Below are 22,369 nucleotides of genomic sequence, written 5' to 3' on the forward strand. Positions count from 1 at the left end.
TCAACAAGTAAATATCTCACACTGGTAATTTATGTGCAGCCTTCCTTAGTATACATATATAGAAAAACAGTCAATATTTGCTTTTTCATGGGGAAACAAATATAACTGGACAGTTAAGCTTTAGGGATTTTTCCAAATCCACTTCCTAGTTCTCTCAATGCCTAAAAAATGATATATATATATCATTTTATAATCATATATATATATATATATATATATATAGCAACTCACCATTTAGATGATTTACTGCTGTGTTTTCTGATCTAAGTAGTTTACCGAAGACTGCAAATACCTCTTATCCAAATTAGGTGAAAAAGGACATAAAGAATCTAGAAAAAATTCAACTCTGCCAAGAATCTACATTTTTCTGGTCACAATCTGTCACCAGATGGACAGTTTCTGTTTTCAGCCAGAATAAAGTGCATTCAATTCTACCAAGAACAGAAATTAAAAGATGGCTAAGATTGTAGGAATGTAGGTAATTGTATACCTGATTTTTCTCAATAGCTCAGCCTTTGCATGGCTTACTAAGTTTATAATTTCTGAAACTCTTCCTTGTGATGCAAAAGTAAAAAATGCTGTCTCCTCTTAGAAAGCCTCTTGCAACAACCTCCACCTTTGGGTTTTCCTAAATCTACCATACTCTTCTCTCTGCCTATCTTAGTACATTCCTTGATTTGGAGGCAAAAGTATACCTTCCGTACTTGCATGAGGTGGTAGCAGTGGCCAAACTTGTTGATGCTTCCACCGTAGTGCTTGTTTCTCCACTAACTCTATGGGTCCTGCTTCTCTAAAGTTTTTGCTACTTCAAGGCAGCATCTGACACTTCTCCACTAGCAAATTTACCACTTATGAAATTGTAATGTCTGCTTTGCTCATTCGCTGTTGTTCAAAATGTAACCCTGCAACTTGATTCCCTTTTAAGAATAAAGGGGAATCACATGACTGTTTAGCATCCTCTCAGGAGTTAAGTATGCCTGGATTTGAATCTTCTCCCTTTTAGTCAACCTTGATTTAATATACTTTGTAGATACTTCTCAAATATGACAGAGACACTCCCAGTGCAGGACATGCTGTTATCACTGAACATGCAATCACTGAAGGGCTCCATGGCCTGATTCCCAGCCTGCCCAGGTAGCTGAACTAGTAGCTTAGATTTGGGGCTGCACTCTGGCAAAGATGAAAGATTAAATATTAATATGGATGGTAGATTTGCTTTTTGAGTGGTTTATGATTTGTGGAATTTATTAAAACACATGATTACCTCCTTTTGGGATACTCTGATTAAAAATGGTTAAGGAATCAATGACTTATTAGTACTTTGTCAATGCCCCAAGGAGATAACAGTTTAATAACTGATAGAAACCAAGAGTCTAGAGATCACCCCAGAAAAAAATAGTAATGTCTTTGTCTTGATTTACATGCTAAAAGTTTTTGGCTTTTTAAAAACACCCCAGCTAATATTAAGTGTTGCCAAATTTATATTAGTCACCACCAAATCTACTAAAAGAAAATGGGCTCAATTTAGACATGCTATAATTAACTCACAGTCATTAACTTAACCTGCTTTAAAAAACAATATTAGCAATCAAGAGATGTTTTCCCCATAAAGATGGAATTTGGAAATTTTTGGATGGCTGCCCTCAAGTGCCATGACCCATCCAGTGGACCCTGGTCACATTACTCCATGACTGTGCCCATTCGGAGCAACAGAAAGTACTTCCACCTCAAATAAATAGTTTGAAACAATTTTCAAAATTGGCCAAGGGAGTGGTAGAGTCATGTCTTAGCCATCAATAGCATAACCTGGGTGAGATGTGGTTCAGACCCTTCTCTTCAAGGTCTTTAGGTATTTACAAATGTATTTTTATACAACTGCTGAAGTCTCTAGTCTCTGACTATAGAGCAGTTATTTCTTGTGAACTATCTGCATGTATAAAAATGCTTCCCTGCCTGAGAATAAGGTAGAATCATTCCATCAATGGTCTCAATTCTTCAACTTTTCCTGAATCCAAGCCCTCACATTTCACCTCGTAGTGCCCCTTCTCTCTAATTTTGTGTTCCATTATGTGAGTTGATTTGGTCACTGGGATGCCACAAAGGAGAGGCTTGCAAAAGCATTTGTAAGATTCCACTCTAGCTCTTTCCTTTTGCCATGACCTTGAAACATACCCATCATATTCATCCAGATGGAGGATGAAGATAAGTTGAGTAGATAGGAGTTACCCAAGACACCTAAGCTAATTGTAGACCAGCTGATAAAGACATTTCAGGAAAGAAAACTACATATCCCTCATGAACACAGATGAAAAGTTCTAAATAAAATATTAGCAAATAGAATCTAGTGATACATAAAAAAATACATTAAGACCAAAAGGAGTTTATTCCAAAAATAAAAAAGGTTGGTTTAACATTTGAAAATCTCATTAATGGAATAACAGAAAAACATTTTTATTATCTTGATAGATGCAGAAAAAATATCTGATATATTCAACACCAATTCATGATTCAAAACTTTTAGCAAACTAGAAATAAAATGGACTGTCTTAATCTAGTAAAGAATGACTACAAAAGCCTATAGCAAACATCATTTCAAATAGTGAAGCATGAAATTCTTTCCACGTGGGTTTGGGAACAGGGCAAGGTTGCCTCCTCTTACCATTTCTATTCAATATTACCGTGAAAGTCCTAGATAATTCAATAAAGAAAGAAAAAAGTATAAAAAGTGGGAAGAAAGTAGTAACTTTATATGATTGCATACATTTTAAAAATCCCAGGGAATCTACATATTCATTATTAAAATGAATATGTGAATTTATGAAGGATGCTAGATGTAAAGTCAACATACAAGGCCAGGTGTGGTGGCTCACACCTTTAATCCCAGCACTTTGGGAGGCTGAGGTGGGAGGGTTGCTTGAATCCAGGAGTTCAAGACCAGCTTGGGTCAGTGAGACCAGAGAGACTCCTTCTCTACAAAAATTAATTAAAAAAATTAGCCAAGTGTGGTGATGCCTGCTTGTAGTCCCAGCTATGTGGGAGACTGAGGTGGGAGAAATGCTTGAGCCCAGGTGCCACTGCACTCCAGCCTGTGGTGACAGAGCAAGGCCCTGTCTTAAGACAAACAAATAAACAAAAGTCAATATACAAAAATTAGTTATGTTCCTACATACCAAGAGCAAATATTTAGAAAATGAAGATCTTCAAATATCATTTAAAATAGCACAAAAACTTATCAACTACATAGAAATAAAACTAACAAAAGTTGTAAAACCTGTACACTGCAAACATTGCTAAAAGAAATCAAAGAAGACATCAGTAGAGAGATGTATTATGTTCATGAGTTGGAAATCTTAATATTTTTACATGTCAAGTCTCTCCAAATTAAGCTGTGTAGTCAATGCCCAAGTCAAAATACTAACAAGGTGTGGGGGTGTGTTTGTGTGGGTTTGAGTGTGTGTGTGTGTATGTAAATTGCCAAGATGATTCTAAAATTTATATGGAAATTCAAAAAATCTAAGAGAGCCAAGATAGTTTTTAAACAAAGAAGTACAAAGTTGGAGGACTTATACACAAGTTCTCAAGAGTCACTATAAGGCCATAATAATTAAAACTATGGTCTGGACTTAAGTATAGACAGTCATAACAAAAGGACAAAAAGCCCAGAAACAGACCTATACGTATATGTTCACTTTATTTGCAATAAACGCACCTCTGCAATTCATTGGGGGAAATCATGCTCTTTACAATAAATGGTACAGGAGGAATTGAGAGCTATGTGAAAAACATGAAACTTGATACTTTATATCTTTACAACAATTAATTGGAGGTCAGTCATAGACCAATATATTGACAGAGGTGTTGGTTACATGCATATATACTCAGGTATAATATCATCAAGATATATACTTGAGTAGTGCAACCTACCATATGTGTTATACCTCAATAAACATGTGGTTATAGATGCATGCATATATAATGTATACGTATGTACATCAGGGCATATGTATATACAGATAATTTACTTCAACTTTTATTTTAGGTTCAGTGGTACATGTGGAGGATGTGCAGGTGTGTTACACAGTTAAATGTGTGCCATGGTGGTTTGCTGCACAGATCATCCCATCCCTATGTATTAAGCCCAGCATCCATTAGCTATTCTTCCTGATGCTCTCCTTCCCCCATCCCCTCCCTCCCCACAGGCCCCAGTGTGTGTTGTTCCCCATTGTGTGCTCATGTGTTCTCATTGTCAGCTCCCGCATGTAAGTGAGAACATGCGATGTTTGGTTTTCTGTCCCTGTGTTAGTTTGCTGAGGATATCAGCTTCCAGCTCCATCCATGTCCCTGGAAAGGATGTAATCTTGTTCCTTTTTATGGCTGCACAGTTTTCCATGGTATTTATGTATCACATTTTCTTTTTTTGTTGTTGTTTTTTTAAGTGTTAAATAATCTTTATTTGATATTACACATAAACCACACAAAATGCCTTTGAATAAGTAAAAGGAACCATCTTAAATACAAGGAATTCTAATTACATTGGCATAGTTAAGGCCAAAAATACAAAGAAGACATTGCTACCTTATCTTCAACCCTTGCCTTTAAGAGGCAAATAAACACAAAATACAGGTGCATCTTGCTTGGTTCTGAGACAGTGAAGGAATTTCCCCAGTATTTAAATATATTCACATAACCAGTCATATAAATCTAAATATAAACCAATATAAATATAAATATAAAACCAATCTTCAATAAGTTTTAAGATGGTACTCACCATCTTTGTGAAAAGTTGAACATTATTAACAAAGTCTAATCATATCTTTAGAAGGAGTAAACAGTGATAGCATTCACTGAATTGGAATTACTATTAATATTCAAAAACCAAACTTATTCATTTAACCACAAGCCAGTCTTAGTTTTAAATCAGGACTGCCCAAAAAATATTCTGACAGTCATTCATAATCTGAATTCTGGTGTATGAGATCTATTATATCATAGGACACATAAAAAAGTCATGAGACATTTCTGTTTTGTAATATAAGGTATAAGGCAGTGGCCAATTATTACTCACTAGTAGCTTTTTTGAGATAAGCTATCAAGTCTGCCCTTTCTGCATTGTTCTTAATGCTGGCAAAGATCATTTTTGTTCCAGGAATGTACTTCCTGGGATTCTCAAAATACTCTATCAGTGTTTCCTCTCCCCAGGTGATGCCTTTGTTCTTATCAGTCTCTGTGTAAGATAATCCAATGGCCTGACCTGTCTTCCACCTGAAGAGACCATGGAGATTAGGCCCAGTCTTTTGCTTGCCTCCCTTTTCCACGGTGTGGCACTGGGCACACTTCTGAACAAAAATTTTCTTGCCTTTCTCAACATCACCCATATTTAATTCTCTCTTTCATCACTGGCACTACAAAGATTCCCGCTCAGAAGCCAGACATCCCACTCTATGTACCATATTTTCTTTATCCAATCTATCATCGACTGGCATTTAGGTTGATTCCATGTCTTTACTATTGTGAATACTGCTGCAATGAACATATGTGTGCATGCATGTATTTTTATAAGACAATGATTTATATTCCTTTGGGTATATACCCCATAATGGGATTGCTGGGTCTGATGGTATTTCTGCCTCTAGGTCTTTGAGGAATTGCCACACTGTCTTCCACATGGGTCGAACTAATTTACACACCCACCAACAGTGTAAAAGCATTCCTTTTTCTCCACAACCTTCCCAGCATCTGTTATTTTTTGGCTTTTTAATAATAGCCATTCTGACTGGCATGAGATGGTATCTCATTGTGGTTTTGTTTGCATTTCTTTAATGATCAGTGATGTTGAGATTTTTTTTCATATTTTTGTTGACTGCATGCATGTCTCTTTTGGGAAGTGTCTGTTCAGATCCTTTGCCCACTTTTTAATGGGGCTGTTTTTTTCTTGTAAATTTAAGTTCCTCATAGACTCTGAATGAGATACTGCCGGTGAAGCCTGAGAAACAGCAAAGATGGCAGCCAGCTCCTTCCTTTGGAAGCTTCATCCCAGGGGGATACTGACCTGTAGCCAGCCCGCACATACCTGCAGGAGGTGGCTGGAGACCCCCGTTGGGCATTCCCACCATCAGGAGGCATTGGATCAGGGACCCATCCAAAGAAGCAGTCTGGCTGCTTTGGGGTAGAGCAGGTGTGCTGCATTGTGGGGGATCCTTCCTCCTCCGGACCACCTGTATTCTCCAAAGCCAGCAGGTTGGAGTGGCTGAGTTGACCAAACTGCAGAGATGGCAGCTGCCCCTCCCGCCAGGAGCTCCATTTCAGGGAGAGATCAAAGCTCTGTCCATAGAACCGTTGCTGCAGTGGTTAAAGCCCCCGCGGGGATTCCTGCCCAGTGAGGAGGAATGGATTGGGGTCCTGCTTAAAGAAGCAGTCTGGTCATGATCTGGCAAGCCAGCTGTGCTGTGTTGTGGGGAACTCTTCCTTGTCCAGATTGTCTGTATTCTCCATAGCTGGCAGGCTGGAGTGGCTGAGTCTATGAACCACAGTGATGCTGGCTGCCTCTCCCCACCTCCCCGGGAACTCAGACCCATCTGAGGTGGATTCCAACCCGCTGCTGTTGGCAGGCTAGTATTCCAAGCCAGTGGGTCTTAACTTGTGAGGTGCCATGGAAATGGGGCCTGCAGAATGATGCTGCCTGGCTCCCTGGATTCAGCCCACTTCCCAGAGATACATATGGACAGATTTCCCACTGTGCTGAAGATCCCCGGCTACAGTGTGTAAAACTCCTGGGTTTCTGTGTGTGCCTGAGCAGCTGATGTGCCCAGACTCCATACAGGTCTGTGTATCAGACCCGCAGCCCTGGTGACATGGGCTCACAAGGGGATCTCTTGATCCATGGCTTGCAAAGATCCATGAGAGAAGCATGGTTTCCTGGGCAGGACTGCACACTCACTGCTTCCCTTGGCTGGGAGTCGGGTTTCCTTTGGCTCCATGCCGCCCCCGGCTGGGCCATCGCACCCTCTGCCTGCTTGTCTTCATTCTCCATTGGTCGACCTGTTCATCCAGTCAGTCCCAATGTGACAACCTGGTTATCTCAGTTGAAGGTGCTGAATTCCCTCGCCCCTTTTCATTCCTCTTTGTGAGCGCGGCAGACTGCAGCTGCTTCTAATTGGCCATCTTGCATCACTCTAAACATTTCTTTTTTAGCCCTAGTTCTTAATTCCTATAGCCCTTGGTTTATCACCAGTTTCTTGACAAAATAATCCATCCATGTTCTCTAGTCATGGGATGATGACTCAGGCCAGGGATCCAGGACATTTTCTGGGAAGTAGCTGAACTTGCAGGCCTGTCCTGTTCAGAACTGAGCTAACAAACTGCAGAGAGGTACTCCTTCCACCTCTCGGCAACTGATGCCAGCCCTTGATAGTTATATTTTTATTGAGGTATAATAAGTATTGTAATTTATATTAAATTAAACAATGATCCTTTCAGCTGGCATTTCACAGTAAACGGCATTATATGTTTGAAATTAATTTAGTCATCCACAGAGCCTAAAGCCATATGCCCTGACTATAATTTAGGATCTCAACCTAAGAATACACATTTTGGGTTATAGCATCCCCATCTTTCTTCCCTATGGTAGACTATCAAAAACTGCCACAATTCTTTATAGTTCCTTCCATCAAGAGTTGGAGTTTATTTTCTACTCCTTGAATCCAGACTGGTAGTGTAATTTGCATTGTCCAATAAAATGGGGTAGAAGTAATATATAATTTTGAGCCTGGGCCTGAAGAGGATTTGCATTGTTTTGTTGCCGCTCCTGGGACTCTTGCCTCTGCCGTCACGTGAACAGGCCTGAAGTAGCCTACTGGAGAATGAGAGACCACATGGGGCCATTCAGCCAAGTCAGGTAATTTTCTTTCCTTTCATTTAAAAAATCTGTTTCCTTCATTCTTTAAAAATATTTTTAACTGACACATAATACTTGTTCATATTTATGAGGTACACAGGGATATCTCAATACTTGCATACAATGTGTAATGATCAAATCAGGATAGTCAGCATATCTGTCACCTCAAATATTTATCATTCTTTGTGTTGGGAACACTCAACATCCTCTCTACGTAAAAATATACAATAAATTATTGTTAACTATAGTCACCCTACAGCACTACAGAACACCAGAACTTTTTCCTATCTGTAAGCTTAAATCTCATATTTCTTTGTTGATTTTCTGTCTAGATGATCTGTCCGGTGGTAAGAGTGGGGTGTTAAAGGCCCCAACTGTTATTGCATTGGAGTCTATCTTTCCCTTTTGACCTAAAAATATTTGCCTTGTTTATCTGAGTGCTCTAGTGTTGGGTACATATATATTTACAATTATTATATCTTATTGCTAAGTTGATCTCTTTATTATTATAAAATGACTTTCTTTGTCTCTTCATACAGTTTGACTTAAAGTCTGTTTTTATCTGATAAGTATGGCTACCTCTGCTCGCTTTTGGTTTCTGTTTGCCTGGAATATTTTCTTCTATCCCTTCACTTCCAGTCTGTATGAACCTTTACAGGTGAAGTTAGTTTCTTGTAGGCAGCATACAGTTGGGTCTTTTTTTTTTTTTTTTAAATCTTGGCAGCCAACTCTATATCTTTTAATTGGGAATTTGATCTGTTTACATTACATTCAAGGTTACTATTAATAGATGAGGCTTTATCCTGTCATTTTGTTCATTTTTTTCTGGTTGTTTTGTATATCCTTTGTTCTTTTCTTCACCTATTTTTTTTTAATCTTTGTGGTTTGGTCATTTTCTGTAGCAACAAAGTTTGATTCCTTTCTCTTTCTCAGGTGTATATCTGTACTACCAGTGAGTTTTATACTTTTGTGTGTTTTGACAATGGTAATCATCCTCTTGCTTCCAGATGTAGAACCACCTTAAAGCAGTCCTTGAAAGGTCAGTCTAGTGGGAATGAATTCCTTCAGTTTTTGCTTGTCTAGGAAATACTTTATTTCTCCCTCATTTCTAGGGGATAGCTCTACTAGGTATAGTATTCTTGGTTGACAGTTTTTTTTTTCCTTCAGTACTTTGTGAATATATCATCCCATCTTATTGTCTACTGACCTGTAAAGTTTCCACTGGGAAATCCACTGTTAATCAAATGGAGTTTCTCTTATATGTGACTTGATGCTTTTTTCTTGCTGTTTTTAACATTTCCTTTTTTTTTTTTTTAATTTTTTTGGATACAATCTTGCTCTGTCACCCAGGCTGTAGTGCAGTGGTGTGATCTTGGCCCACTGCAACCTCCACCTCCTGGGTTTAAGCAATTCTCGTGATTTAGCCTCCCAAGTAACTGGAACTACAGGTTCACGCCACCACACCTAGCTAATTTTTTTCTATTGTTTGTAGAAATGTGGTTTCTTCATGTTGGCCATGCTCGCCTTGAACTCCTGGCCTCAAGTGATCCACCCTCCTCAGCCTCCCAAAGTGCTGGGATTACAGGTGTGAGCCACTGCACCTGACGAATATTCCCTCTTTTTGACTTTTGACAGTTTGACTACTATGCACCTCAGAGAAGACCTTTTTGGGTTGAATCTATTTGAGAACCTTCGAGCTTCCTAGATTTTGGCCATATCTCTCCCATGTCTGTTTTTAAAGCTCTTGATTGTATTTTTTTTTTTCAGACAGGGTATCACTCTGCCACCCAGGCTGGAGTGCAGTGGCACAATCTTGGCTCACTGCAACCTCTACCTCCTGGATTCAAGCAATTCTCGTGTCTCAGCCTCCCACGTAGCTTGGATGGCAAGCATGCACCACCAAACCCAACTAATTTTTGTATTTTTTAGAGACAGGATTTTGCCATGTTCATCAGGCTTGTCTTGAACTCCTGGCCTCAAGTGATCCACTGCCTTGGCCTCCCAAAGTGCTGGGATAACAGGTGTGAACCACTGCACCTGGACTCTTGATTGTATTTTTATTTTATTCCTTAAATTCTTCAGCTCCACAATCTCTGTCTGGTTTTTAATGACATATATATCCTTGTTGAATTTCCCATAAGATCATAAATTGTTTTTCTAATTTCATTGATTTGTCTATCTGTATTCTCTGTATCTCATAGTTTCCTGAAGATCATTATTTTGAATTCCTTCTTAGCCATTTGATATACTCTTTAAATTTAGGGTCTGTTAATGGGGAATTATTGTATTTCTTTGGAGGTGTAATGTTTCCTTGCTTTTCATGTTTCTTGTGGCCCTAAACTGATTTTTGCACATCTGGGGAAACTGTTGCCTCTTCCAATGTTAGAGAGCTTTCATAGAGAAATACTTTTTCCAATAGTTGTCTCCTATAGTGTTCATTGAGTAGGGTGCTTTGACTTTGGTTCTGGGTGGGTGCAGTAATATAATCTTCAGGTGACTTTTTTGGCTGTAATCAGCATTCAGTGGTGTCTGTGACTGCCTCAGTGGCCTGATGGTGAGGGTTTGTGGAGACAGTGGTATGGCTTTTCTTGGTATGAGAGCCATCATTCAGATTAGTTCTCAGGCCTTAGGCATATGCATGCTAGCTGCAGTGGCTTTGCTAGCTGTGGGGTATTGCCAACAGCAGGGTGGGCACCAGGTAGGCCAGTCCTCAGTGCCTTAGAAGTGCATGCAGCATATGGTGGCTCTGCTGGTGAAGGGGGTGGGGCTGTTGGCAGCAGTGGGTGCCAGATGGGATGGGCCTTGGGCCTCGGGGGGGTGCACGTAGCATGCAGTGGCTCTGTCAGTTGAGGGTAGCCAAGCCATTTTAGACTAGCCAGTCCTCAGATGACCCAGTAGCTGCCCACAGATACATGAATGAGCTTAGTTGAGACAGGAAATCCTTTCTGCAAGCACCTGAATTGGACAGTTAAGCCCATACCAAATTCACAAACCACAGTATCATGAGCCAAATAAATAGTTGCTGTTATAAGCCAGTAAGTTTTGGGGTGGTTTGTAACCACTGGCACAATTGTAACTGGTATCAATCCATTATGATTTTTTTACTTGAAAGAGTACATTTTTAAAAGAATACTGCCATATCTGGGTCAATATTAAACTTATGACTACACAGTCTACATTCACTGAGAAATGAGTATTTGTCAGATAAAGACCCTTACCTCAATTGGATTTCTATAGAAAGACTGCCTTCCAGAAGATGGAAATGACATAGCAATAATACGTTCTGAAAGTCAAAATCATCACTATTACAAACATTATTATAGATTTCATATAACACAAAAAAAATTAATTTATACATGATCAGACTCCATTTTCACAGAAAAAAAACTTTTAAAATTGAGGTTGACAGAAAAGAGCTAATACTCAGGATAATCAAATAACATATTAAATTATCCAACACAATGACCATTAAACTGGCATGGAGTTCTTAAGTCTCCACTAGTTCTAACTGTATGCCATGTACTTATGATGGCCTCAGTCTGAAGTTCCCCCTGTTCTTAGAATTTATTTCTTATCTTAAATACCAGAGAAAATCCAAGATTTCTGGGCACCAGTGACGGTGGGAACTCCCAAGGTGCTTTGCAGCCCTCTGACTCAGAAAACCTGAGATCTACAAAACACTGACCTCATTCTCTGGGGTTCTAGGATGAGAAGAGGTCTCTGTGGGATCCTTGGGACTCAGAAATAACTACAAGAGGTTAATAAATTGAAACTCAAATGGAGTCAGCTGAAAATCCATTCAAGTTCCTATGCTGCAACTGAGTAGTCCTGAATTGAGAAGACATGCAGATCTTCCATTGCCAGGGCTAAACCACAAATATGTCACACTATCACAGTGGCATATATTCTCAAGAATAAAGAATATTTTGAATGAATGTGTCTTAGATGAGGCAAAAAAATACAATTACAAGAAAAAGTGAAGTAATACAAGTAAATCAACCATTAAGTGTCACAAACCTGTAACGTAAGTGAGGTCTAGGTCAAATCCATCCCTTGTGTATCGCCTTTTGTTTTCTGAAACCTGAGAGTTTAAAATCATCATTAGTTTGTGAAACATTCATCAACATAAAAATAAAAAACATTATACAGTATAGATATCAACCCTTGCCAATGGGTCCCAAAACACAAAATATTTTTCTGAATCATAAGCATGTTTTGCCCACTTACCAGCCTTCTCATCAGCTTTTCAAGTTGTCTTTTTTGATGAAGCAGATGAAAAATTCTTATCAGAATAATAAGTCGTAGAAGTCGAACTAAATGTGTCCATCTAACAATAAATTTAAAAGATCCATTTTTGCTTCAGAAACAGAATTTTATCAATATAAACTATGTCTAGAGCAGCAGTTGTTAACCAGAGGCAATTTTCCCTCCTCTCCCCAATTACCTACCTGGGGGATATTTGGCAATGTCTGGAGGCATTTAGGTTTTCACAACTTGCGTGTGTGCATGTGTGTTTGTGTCTGTGTGTTACTTACATCTAGTGAATAGAGGCCAGGAATTTTGCTAAACACCCTACAATTAATATAACTGCTCACCACCCTCTTATGACAATGATCTGGCCCAAAATGTTGGTAATGCTGAGGCTGAGAAATTCTGGTCTAGAGAAATAGTGATACGATAGACTCTTAGCATTTGTAAATTTAATTTTGGGATTTAAGACTAGCATTTTCAATTTTTCCACATCAAAACAAATCGATTATTCTTGTTCATCTTTGTTATTCCCATGAGTAACAGATGTTCACTACAGCTGCTAATGCACATCAGGCAGGCAACAGATTGAGATACTTCCAAAGTGTGCTAGCTGGTATCTCTCCTGCCATCAGAACCACCAAAGCAGAGAACTGATGGTCTGGACTAGTGCTTCTCTGATTTGGGCACATGTCAATAAGAGCCACCTGGAAAAGCTTGTTAAGCTGCAGATTGCTGGGTCCCAGAGATACTGATTCAGTGGGTCCAGGGTGGGGCCTAAGGTATTTTTCTTCTTATATTTCTAGCAAGCTGTCAAGTGATGCTGAGGTTTCTAGTCAGAGAACCACATTGGCTGAGGTTATTTTCAAATAACTCCAAAAGCCAATCACTTAACATGCTTTTAGTTGGGGCCTGAGCTGTAGTCCAGGGAAGCTAGGGTACAAAAAGAAATCAGCTATTTGACCCATGAACAAGCTTAGGAAGCCACCATCTACATCCCAGTATACATTTGCTCTTTCATTTTCCTCATTGTCACAGTAAAAAAAGAAAAAGAGTCACCAGGGCCTCATACACTGTTAAGTTTTCCTAATCCCTAACAGTTCTAACTTTGCCTAAGCTTTCTTTGTTTCTACCACAACTATACTGCAAAACTCTACTATTGTGTTGCTACATGTGTCATCTCCTAGTTTCTGTTCTGTTTGCTATTTTTTAGAAACTCATGATTGAAATCACTCAAATTTTGCATATGCTCAAATAAATTCCCTCTTGGCTGTAGGAAAAATCCAGACAGAACATTATGTGTAAGGGATTTGTAGTTGAAGCACAGAGGGGAATTGTTTTCAATATAAGTTTTTTTGATATAGCAGATATTAAACTGATAAGAATATTATACTTGATCTTAGCCAAAAGGCCAAAAAATGATACAAATGGGAATTCGATGAGAACTTCAAAATGTAGAGAAGTTAAAGTTAGTACAAGAGTAAAAGTCCTTCTTTGGGTACTGCCATCTTCTTTATTCCATTAATGGTACTTAGCGTGTATATTCTTCACTGGTCCCTAAATATCACAATCTTTTAGTTTCAAAGTATGTGGGCATTTACCCAAACATTTCATTTTAAAGCAATGTATTTGGTATAGATGAGAACATTTGAAGTTGAAAAGATTATATAGAATAAAAGCCACAGAAAATGCTAAAAGTAATGAAAAACTTTAAGAGAGGTAAGTCTTATGTTTCATACCTGGGAATATTCCTAAGCAACTTAATGTCAAAAAAAATGTAAATGACATCAACCAGCAGAGGAATCACAATAATGGCAGTATCTAAAATGTTAAATAAGTCAGAAAAATACTGCTGTCTCCTGTAATATAAAAAAAAAAAAAAAAAAGTTCATTTCCCTCTGCAAGAAGAGACAGGAATATTTAAAGACCACAAACTACTGACTCATCCCCATTAAGAATTCTACTATCATGAATTATTTAAAATGTATTTTCTAGAGTAGACTAAGGGAAAAACATAACATTCATGGGAAGTTTTCAAACAATAAAATTATATTCATCATTTGACATTTATATGTGACTAAAACACCAACATGGCAATTCAAACATAATAAGAGATATAACTAAATGTGTAATAATCACCCTTATTGTGGACAATGGGGTATCTATCCCCTCAAGCATTTATCATTCACGTTACAAACAATCCAATTACACTCTTTCAGTCATTTAAAAATATACAATCAAGTTATTGTTGACTATGGTCAATCTGTTGTGCTATCAAATAGTAGGCGTTACTCATTCTATTTTTTTGTACCCATTAGCCATCCCCACCTCCCCACCCCCAAGCCCCTACTACCATTCCCAGCCTCTGATGATCATCTTTCTACTCTCTAGGTCTATGAATTCAATTGCTTTTTTTTTTTTTTTAGAGCCCCATAATAAGTGAGAACATGTGATGTTTATCCTTCTGTGCCTGGCTTATTTCACTTAACAAACATAGTGATCTCTAGTTCCATCCATGTTGTTCCAAATGACAGGATCTCTTTTTTTTTTTTTTTTTTTTTTTTTTTTTTTTTGAGATGGAGTTTCACTCAGCTGCCCAGGCTGGAGTGCAATGGCGTGATCTCGGCTCACTGCAACCTCCACCTCCCAGGTTCAAGCGATTCTCCTGCCTCAGCCTCACGAGTAGCTGGGATTACAGGCGACCGACACCACACCCAGCTAATTTTTGTATTTTTAGTAGAGATGGGGTTTCTCCATGTTGGTCAGGCTAGTCTCGAACTCCCGACTTCAGGTGATCTGCCCACCTCAGCCTCCCAAAGTGCTGGGATTACAGGCATGAGCCATTGCACTTGGCCAGGATCTTATTGTTTTTTATGGCTAAATAATACTCTCTTGTGTATATGTACTATATTTTCTTTATCCATTCATCTGTTGATGGACACTTAGGCTGCTTCCAAATCTTAGCCATTATGAACAGTGCTGCAACAAACAGGGAATGCAGATATCTCTTCTATATACTGATTTCCTTTCTTGTGGGTATCTACCCAGCAGTGGGATTGCTGGATCATATGGTAGTTCTATTTTTAGTTTTTTGAGGAACCTGCAAACTGTTCTCCAATTGATTCTACTAATTTACATTTCCATGAACAGTGTATGAGGGTTCTCTTATCTTCACATCTTTGGCAGGATTTGTTATTGCCTGACTTTTGGATATAAACCATTTTAGCTGGGGTGAGATGATATCTCATGGTAGTTTTCTACACTGCGAATTTCTCTAATGATCAATGATGTTAAGCATCTCTTGATATGCCTGTTTACCATCTTTATGTTTTCTTCTGAGAAATGCCTATTCAAATCTTATGCTCATTTAAAAAATTAGATTATTAGATTTTTTCCTAGAGAGTTGTTTGAGCTCCTTACATATTCTGGTTATTAATCCCTTTTCAGATCGGTAGTTTGCAAATATTTTCTCCCATTCTGTGGGCTGCCTCTTCACTTTGCTAATTGTTTCTTCTGCTACGAAGCAGTTTTTTAACTTGATGTGATCCCATTTGCCCATTTTTGCTTTGGTTGCCTGTGCTTGTCAGGTATAGCCCAAGTAATTTTTGCTCAGACCAATGTCCTGGAGATTCTTCCCAATGTTCTCTTGTAGTATAGTAGTTTCATTGAGGTCTTAGATTTAAGTCTTTAATCCATGTTGATTTGATTTTTGTATACGGTGAGAGGTAGGGGTCTAGGTGCATTCTTCTGTATGTGTATATCCAGTTTTCCCCAGAACCGTTTGTTGAAGAGACGTCTTTTGTTCAATGTATGCTCTTGGCACATTTACTAAAAATGAGTTCACTGTAAGTGTGTGTGGATTTGTTTCTGGGTTCTCTATTCTGTTCCAGTGGTCTATGTGTCTGTTTTTATGCCAGTGCCATGGTGTTTTGGTTATATAGTTCTGTAGTATAATTTGAAGTCAGGTAATGTGATTCCTCCAGCTTTGTTCTTTTTGCTTAGAATAGTTTTGGCTATTCTGGGTCTTTTGAGGCTCCATATAAATTTTAAGATTGTTTCTTCTATTTCTGTGAAGAATGTCATTCATATTTTGACAAGGAGTGCATTGAATCTGTAAATTGCTTTGGATAGTATGGACATTTTAACAATATTGATTCTTCCAATCCATGAAATGGAATCTCTTTCCATTTCTTGGTGTCCTCTTCAATTTCTTTCATCAGTGTTTTATCATTTTCATTATAAAGATCTTACACTTCTTTGGTTAGGTTAATTTCTAGGTATTTAATTTTATTTGTGGCTATTGCATATAGGACCACTTTTTAAATGTCCTTTCCAAATGGTTCACGGTTGACATATAGAAATGCTACTGATTTTTGTATATTGATTTTGTATCCTGCAACTTTACTGAATTTATCAGTTCTAATAGTTTTCTTTGTGGAGTCTTTAGTATTTTCCAAATAAAATGTATCATCTGCAAACACAAGGATAATTTTACTTCTTCCATCCCAATTTGGATTTCTTTTTTTATTCCCTTTCTTTCTCTTCTATAATGGCTCTAGCTAGGACTTCCGGTACTATGTTGAACAACAGTGGTAAAAGTGGGCATCCTCATTGTGTTCTAGATCACAGAGAAAAGCTTTTCATTTTTTCCCCATTCAGTACGGTACTGACTGTGGGTCTGTCATATATGGTTTTTATTATGTTTAGGTGTGCTACTTCTATACCCAGTTTTTTTAGGGTGTTTACTATGAAGGGATGTTGAATTTTATCAAATGCATTTTTGGCATCAACTGAAATGATCTTACGGTTTTTATCCTTTATTGTGTGGATATAATGTATCGCATTGATTGATTTGCAAATGTTGAACCATCCTTGCATCCCAGAGACACATCCCACTTGTCATGATGAATGATCTTTCCCATATATTGTTGAATTCAGTTTTCCAGTATCTTGTTGAGGATTTTTGCATCAATATTTATCAGATATATTAGCATGTTTTTGGTTTTGGTTTTGGTTTTTGGGTTTTTTCATTTGTTTATTTTTATTTTTATTTTTTTTGAGACTGAGTCTCACTCTGTCACCCAGGCTGGAGTGCAGTGGTGTGATCTCAGCTCACTGCAACCTCTGCCTCCCAGGTTCAAGTGATTCTCCTGCCTCAGCCTCATGAGTAGCTGAAATTACAGGCACCCAGCACCACACCCAGCTAATTTTTGTATTTTTAGTACAGACGGGGTTTCACCATATTGGCCAGGCTGGTCTTGAACTCCTGACCTCCAGTAAACCACCCGCCTCTGCCTCCCAAAGTGCTGGGATTATAGAAGTGAGCCACCACTTCCAGCCTACCTGTGTCTTTATGGGAGAAGAGTATTTCCTGTAGGCAACAGATCAATGGATCTTTTTATTTTATTTATTTATTTATTTATTTATTTATTTATTTATTTTTGAGATGGAGTCTTGCTCTGTCACCAGGCTGGAGTGCAGTGGCACCATCTCAGCTCACTGCAACCTCTGCCTCCCGGGTTCAAGTGATTCTCCTGCCTCAGCCTCCTGAGTAGCTGGGACTACAGGTGTGCACCACCACACCCTGCTAATTTTTGTATTTTTAGTAGAGACAGGGTTTCACCATGTTTGCCAGGATGGTCTCTAGCTCTTGACCTCATGATCTGCCTGCCTTGGCCTCCCAAACTGCTGGGATTACAGGCGTGAACCACCACACCTGGATGTGTCTTGTTCTTTCATCCATTCATCCACTCTGTCTTTTGACTGAAAAGCTTAGTCTGCTGACACTCAGTGTTATCATTGATAAGTAAGAACTCACTCCTGCTATTTTGTTATTTGTTTTCTGGTTGTTTTGGGGTCTTCTCTTCCTTCTTTCCTTCCTGTCTTCCAATAGTGAAGGTAATTTTCTCTGGTGATATGATTTAGTTTCTTGTTTTTTATTTTTCATGTATCCACTGTTATGTTTTTTGGTTTGAGGTTACCATGAGGCTTGTAAATACTATCTTATAATCCATTATTTTAATCTTATAACAGTTTTCATAAACAAACAAGTAAAAAGGAAACTAATAAAAACCCTACAACTTAAATTTGTCTCGCTATTATTTAACTTTTTGTTATTTCTATTTATATCTTATTATACCATCTATGTCTTGAAAAGTTGTAGTTAATATTTTTGATTGGCTCATAGTTTAGTCTCTCTACTTAGAATAAGAGTAGTTTATACATCATAGTTACAATGTTATAACATTCTGCATTTTTCTGTATACCTACTATTACCAGTGAGTTTTATACCTTCAGGTTGTTACTTATTGCTCATTAATGTCCTTATCTTTCTGATTGAAATACTCCCTTTAGCATTTCTTCTAGGACAGGTCTGGTGTTGACAAAATCCCTCAGCTTTTGTGTGGAAAAGTCTTTATTTCCCCTTCACTTTGAAGGATATTTTCACTGGATACACTGTTCTAGGGTAAATGTTTTTTTCCTTCAGCACTTTCAATATGTCATGCCACTCTCTCCTGGCCTGAAACGTTTCTACTAAAGAGTCTGCTGCCAGATATATTGTAGCTCCATCGTATATTATTGGTTTCTTTTCTCTTGCTGCTTTTAAGATCCTTTCTTTATCCTTGATCTTTGGGACTGTGATTATTAAATTCCTTGAGGTAGTCTTCTTTGAGTTACATCTGCTCGGTGTTTTATAACTTTCTTGTACTTGGATATTGATATCTTTCTGTAGGTTTGGGACGTTCTGTTACTATCCCTTTGAATAAACTTTCTACACTCCCCACCTCCTCTTTAAGGCCAATACCACTTAGATTTGTCCTTTTGAGGCTATTTTCTAGATCCTGTAGGCATGCATCATTGTTTTTTATTCTTTCCTTTGTCTCCTCTATGTATTTTGAAATAGCCTGTCTTCAAGCTCATTAATTCTTTCTTCTGGTTTATCAATTCTGCTATTAAAAGACTCTAATGCATTCTTTGGTGTGCCAATTACATTTTTTGGCTCCAGAATTTCTGCTTGATTCTTTTAAATTATTTAATTTCTTTGTTAAACTTATCTAATAGAATTATGAATTCCTTCTCTGTCTTATCTTGAATTTCTTTGAGTTCCCTCAACACAGCTATTTTGATTTCTTTGTCTAAAAGGTCACATATATCTGTTTCTACAGGATTGGCTCCTGGTGTCTTATTTAGTTCATTTGGTGAGGTCATGTTTTCCTGGATAGTGTTGATGCTAGCAGATGTTCTTTGGTGTCTAGGCATTGAAGAGTTAGGTATTTATTGTAGTTTTCACTGCATTTATTGTAGTTTTCACTGTATTTATTGTAGTTTTCACTGTCAGGGCTTGTTTGTACCCATCTTTCTTGGGAAGGCTTTCCAGATATTTGAAAGAACTTGGATATTGTGATCTAAGCTCTATCTGCTCTAGGCGGCACCCCAAGCCTCCTAAACTCTGTGGTTCTTGCAGACTTATAGTGGTACTGCCTTAATGGTCTTGGACAAGATCCAGGATAATTCTCTGCATTACCAAAAGGAGACTCTTGTTTTCTTCCCTTACATTCTCCCAAACAAAGAGTCTCTCTCTCTCTCTGTTCTGAGGCACCTAAAGCTTGGGGTTGAGTGACACAAGCACCCCTGTGGCCACCAATACTGTGACTGCATTGGGTCAGACCTGAGGCCAGCACAGCACTGGGTCTTGCCCAAGACCTGCTGTAACCACTCCTTAGCTATTGCAGAAGTTTGCTGAAGGCCCTGGGGCTCTACAGTCATCACATGGTAAAAACAGCCAGGCCTGTGTCCTTCCCTTCAGGATGGCAAGTTGTCCTAGCCTCCAGGTGGATCCAAAGGTGCTGTCTGGGAATCAGGGCCTAGATCAAAAACTTTAAAAGTCTACCTAGTGTTTTATTGTGCTACGGCTGAGCTGTCACTCAAACCACAAGATGCAGTCCCTCCCACTCTTTCCACCCCTGTCCAAAGGCAGAGGAGCATCAATCCATGGCCACCTCAAACACAGGCCATGGGGGGTACTGCCAGACTACCACCAATGTTCTCATAAGGCCCAAAGGCTCTTAAGTCAGTTTGTGGTGAATGCTCCTGTTAATTATTTTAAAATGCTTTTTTTTTTTTTTTTGAGATGGAGTCTCGCCCTGTCACCCAGGCTAGAGTGCAATGGCGTGATCTCAGCTCAACGCAACTTCTGCCTCCCAGGTTCAAACAATTCTCCTGCCTCAGCCTCCCAAGTAGCTGGGATTACAGGCAACCACCACCATGCCCAGCTAATTTTTGTATTTTTAATAGAGACGGGGTTTCACCATGTTGGCCAGGATTGTGTCGAACTCCTGACCTTGGGATCCTCCCACCTCAGCCTCCCAAAGTGCTTCTTATAAAAGTACAAAATAGCTTAATGCATTATAAAAATAATCAAACTTACCCTTCTACAAATACTCGAAGAAGAACATCCATGAGAAAAAATAAGCCAATAGCTAGAGAAATAGAACGATACTCCAAAGGAATATAAAGTTTGCTGTCAGTGAAAATTAGGTCGGCAAGGAGGAGAGTGACATCCAGTAAGACCAGGAAAACTCCAAATATTCTAAAATAAATAAATAAATAAATAAATAAATAAATAAATAAATAAATGCAAAGATAAAGGGGCATTTGTCCCTATAGCTATACTATATTTAAGCCACTGATCAGGTACCAAAATGTTATTATTTAGTATTAAGCTGCCCAGTGGCAGGAAAAACTGTAATGTCTTGGAATCTCAGAAAAATCACTGTTTTCACCCAATAGAAGCAGTTCTTAATAAACAAAATTCTCACCAAACCACTTCACAAGATATCATGGCCTTTTATAGTAGACACATCAGACCAACACCTCAAGAGAGAAAAGCAAAACTGAATTAAAATCACCTGTGTCTGTTTACAAACTCTTCCTAAAATTTCAGAATTTCATAAGAAGTTTATACCAATTTCTCATAAAAAATAAACCCTCATTAATCTGGATAATTCTAAAGAATTTATTAATAAAAACCAAATGAAAGCATGAGTAACATAAGCTCTTAAAAGACCAAGATTTTTCATCAGTGACATTTTCAACAAGTCCATGATTCCATATTTATGGGTGCTTCTAGCATAGTGATGGGCACATGAGTCTTGAACTCTAAAGTACTTCCTGCCACTTGCTGTTACATATTCCAAATACATTCTCCATAAATTGATTAGACTATTTGCCTAATCCATAAAGATGAATTAGCCTTTGAAGTACTTTTTTAAAAACTTGCAGCTCAAATTCAAATATTATTAATTCAAAAGGAAACAATTATATTGCATAAATCTATATCATAGTATGAAATCGTACTCTTATGTAGAGAAGAGTCTAAGTAAATTGTTTCCAGAACTAAAGAGTAATTCCAGATGTATAAGGTACTTAATAAAACACTTTACTAATAATTATAGAATTTTAACATTTGATTTTCATTAATGTTACTTTTGCAGATGGAAGAAAAACAATATTAATATGTTACTATTAATCTTAGGCAAAAGCCATTTATTTGCAATTCTTAATGTCCAGCTTAAACCAAAATTCCATGATAAATTACATTACATTAGATGGGGCACATGGCTACTTAGCAACTGATGGACAGTGGAAATGCTCTTTTGTTATTTTATTTCAGTGTTTCTCATTGAAGTATTAAGTCTCATATATATGTATGTATAGATGCATATGAGACTCATATATTTTTTTTTCTTTTTTTTTTTTACATGGAGTCTTGCTGTGTCGCCAAGGCTGCAGTGCAATGGTGCAATTTCAGCTCACTGCAACCTATGCCTCCTCGGTCCAAGCGATTCTTCTGCCTCAGCCTCCTGAGTAGCTGGGATTACAGGCACCTGCCATTATGCTTGGCTAATTTTTGTATTTTTAGTAGAGATGGGGTTTCACCATGTTAGCCAGGCTGGTCTTGAACTCCTGACTTCATGTGATCTGCCCGCCTCAGCCCCCCAGAGTGCTGGGATTACAGGCGTGAGCCACTGCACCCAGCCAAGTCTCAGATATATTTAATACATGGTGTTTTCTATGTCTCACATACCCAAATGCAAAGGATGATACAATTGAATGCACAATTTTCTTAATCTTGCTGCTGCAAAAAGAAGTAAAAATAAAATTAACCAGATTTCTTCTTATATTGTAAATTTAACCAAAAAACAAAGGCCTTTATAAATATAATTT

At 38.1% G+C, this 22,369-nt stretch overlaps 1 protein-coding gene and 2 pseudogenes across 7 annotated transcripts in view; all 3 read right to left on the reverse strand.

Moving 5' to 3' along the window:
- TPTE2 (transmembrane phosphoinositide 3-phosphatase and tensin homolog 2) overlaps positions 1-22,369 on the reverse strand; it is a 138,698-nt gene that overhangs the window by 30,467 nt on the left and 85,862 nt on the right. For 3 of the 7 annotated variants that reach the window (NR_073485.2, NM_001395978.1, NM_199254.3), the window contains 6 exons: positions 22,230-22,280; positions 20,571-20,732; positions 13,882-14,001; positions 12,122-12,221; positions 11,912-11,975; positions 11,113-11,177 (listed from right to left, as the gene is read on the reverse strand). Coding sequence is in view for 4 of the 7 variants with exons in the window: in NM_001395978.1 (NP_001382907.1) it covers positions 11,113-11,177; positions 11,912-11,975; positions 12,122-12,221; positions 13,882-14,001; positions 20,571-20,732; positions 22,230-22,280 (562 nt within the window). In the remaining 3 variants the exon portion in view is untranslated. The remainder of the gene's footprint in view (positions 1-11,112; positions 11,178-11,911; positions 11,976-12,121; positions 12,222-13,881; positions 14,002-20,570; positions 20,733-22,229; positions 22,281-22,369) is intronic. The other 4 variants (NR_073487.2, NM_130785.4, NR_073486.1 and 1 more) reach the window with 2 other exon arrangements.
- CYCSP32 (CYCS pseudogene 32) lies at positions 4,858-5,441 on the reverse strand (annotated as a pseudogene).
- Positions 13,469-13,565, reverse strand: LOC124903271 (uncharacterized; annotated as a pseudogene).

Source organism: Homo sapiens, chromosome 13, assembly GCF_000001405.40.
Source record: "Homo sapiens chromosome 13, GRCh38.p14 Primary Assembly".
Lineage (NCBI taxonomy): Eukaryota > Metazoa > Chordata > Mammalia > Primates > Hominidae > Homo > Homo sapiens.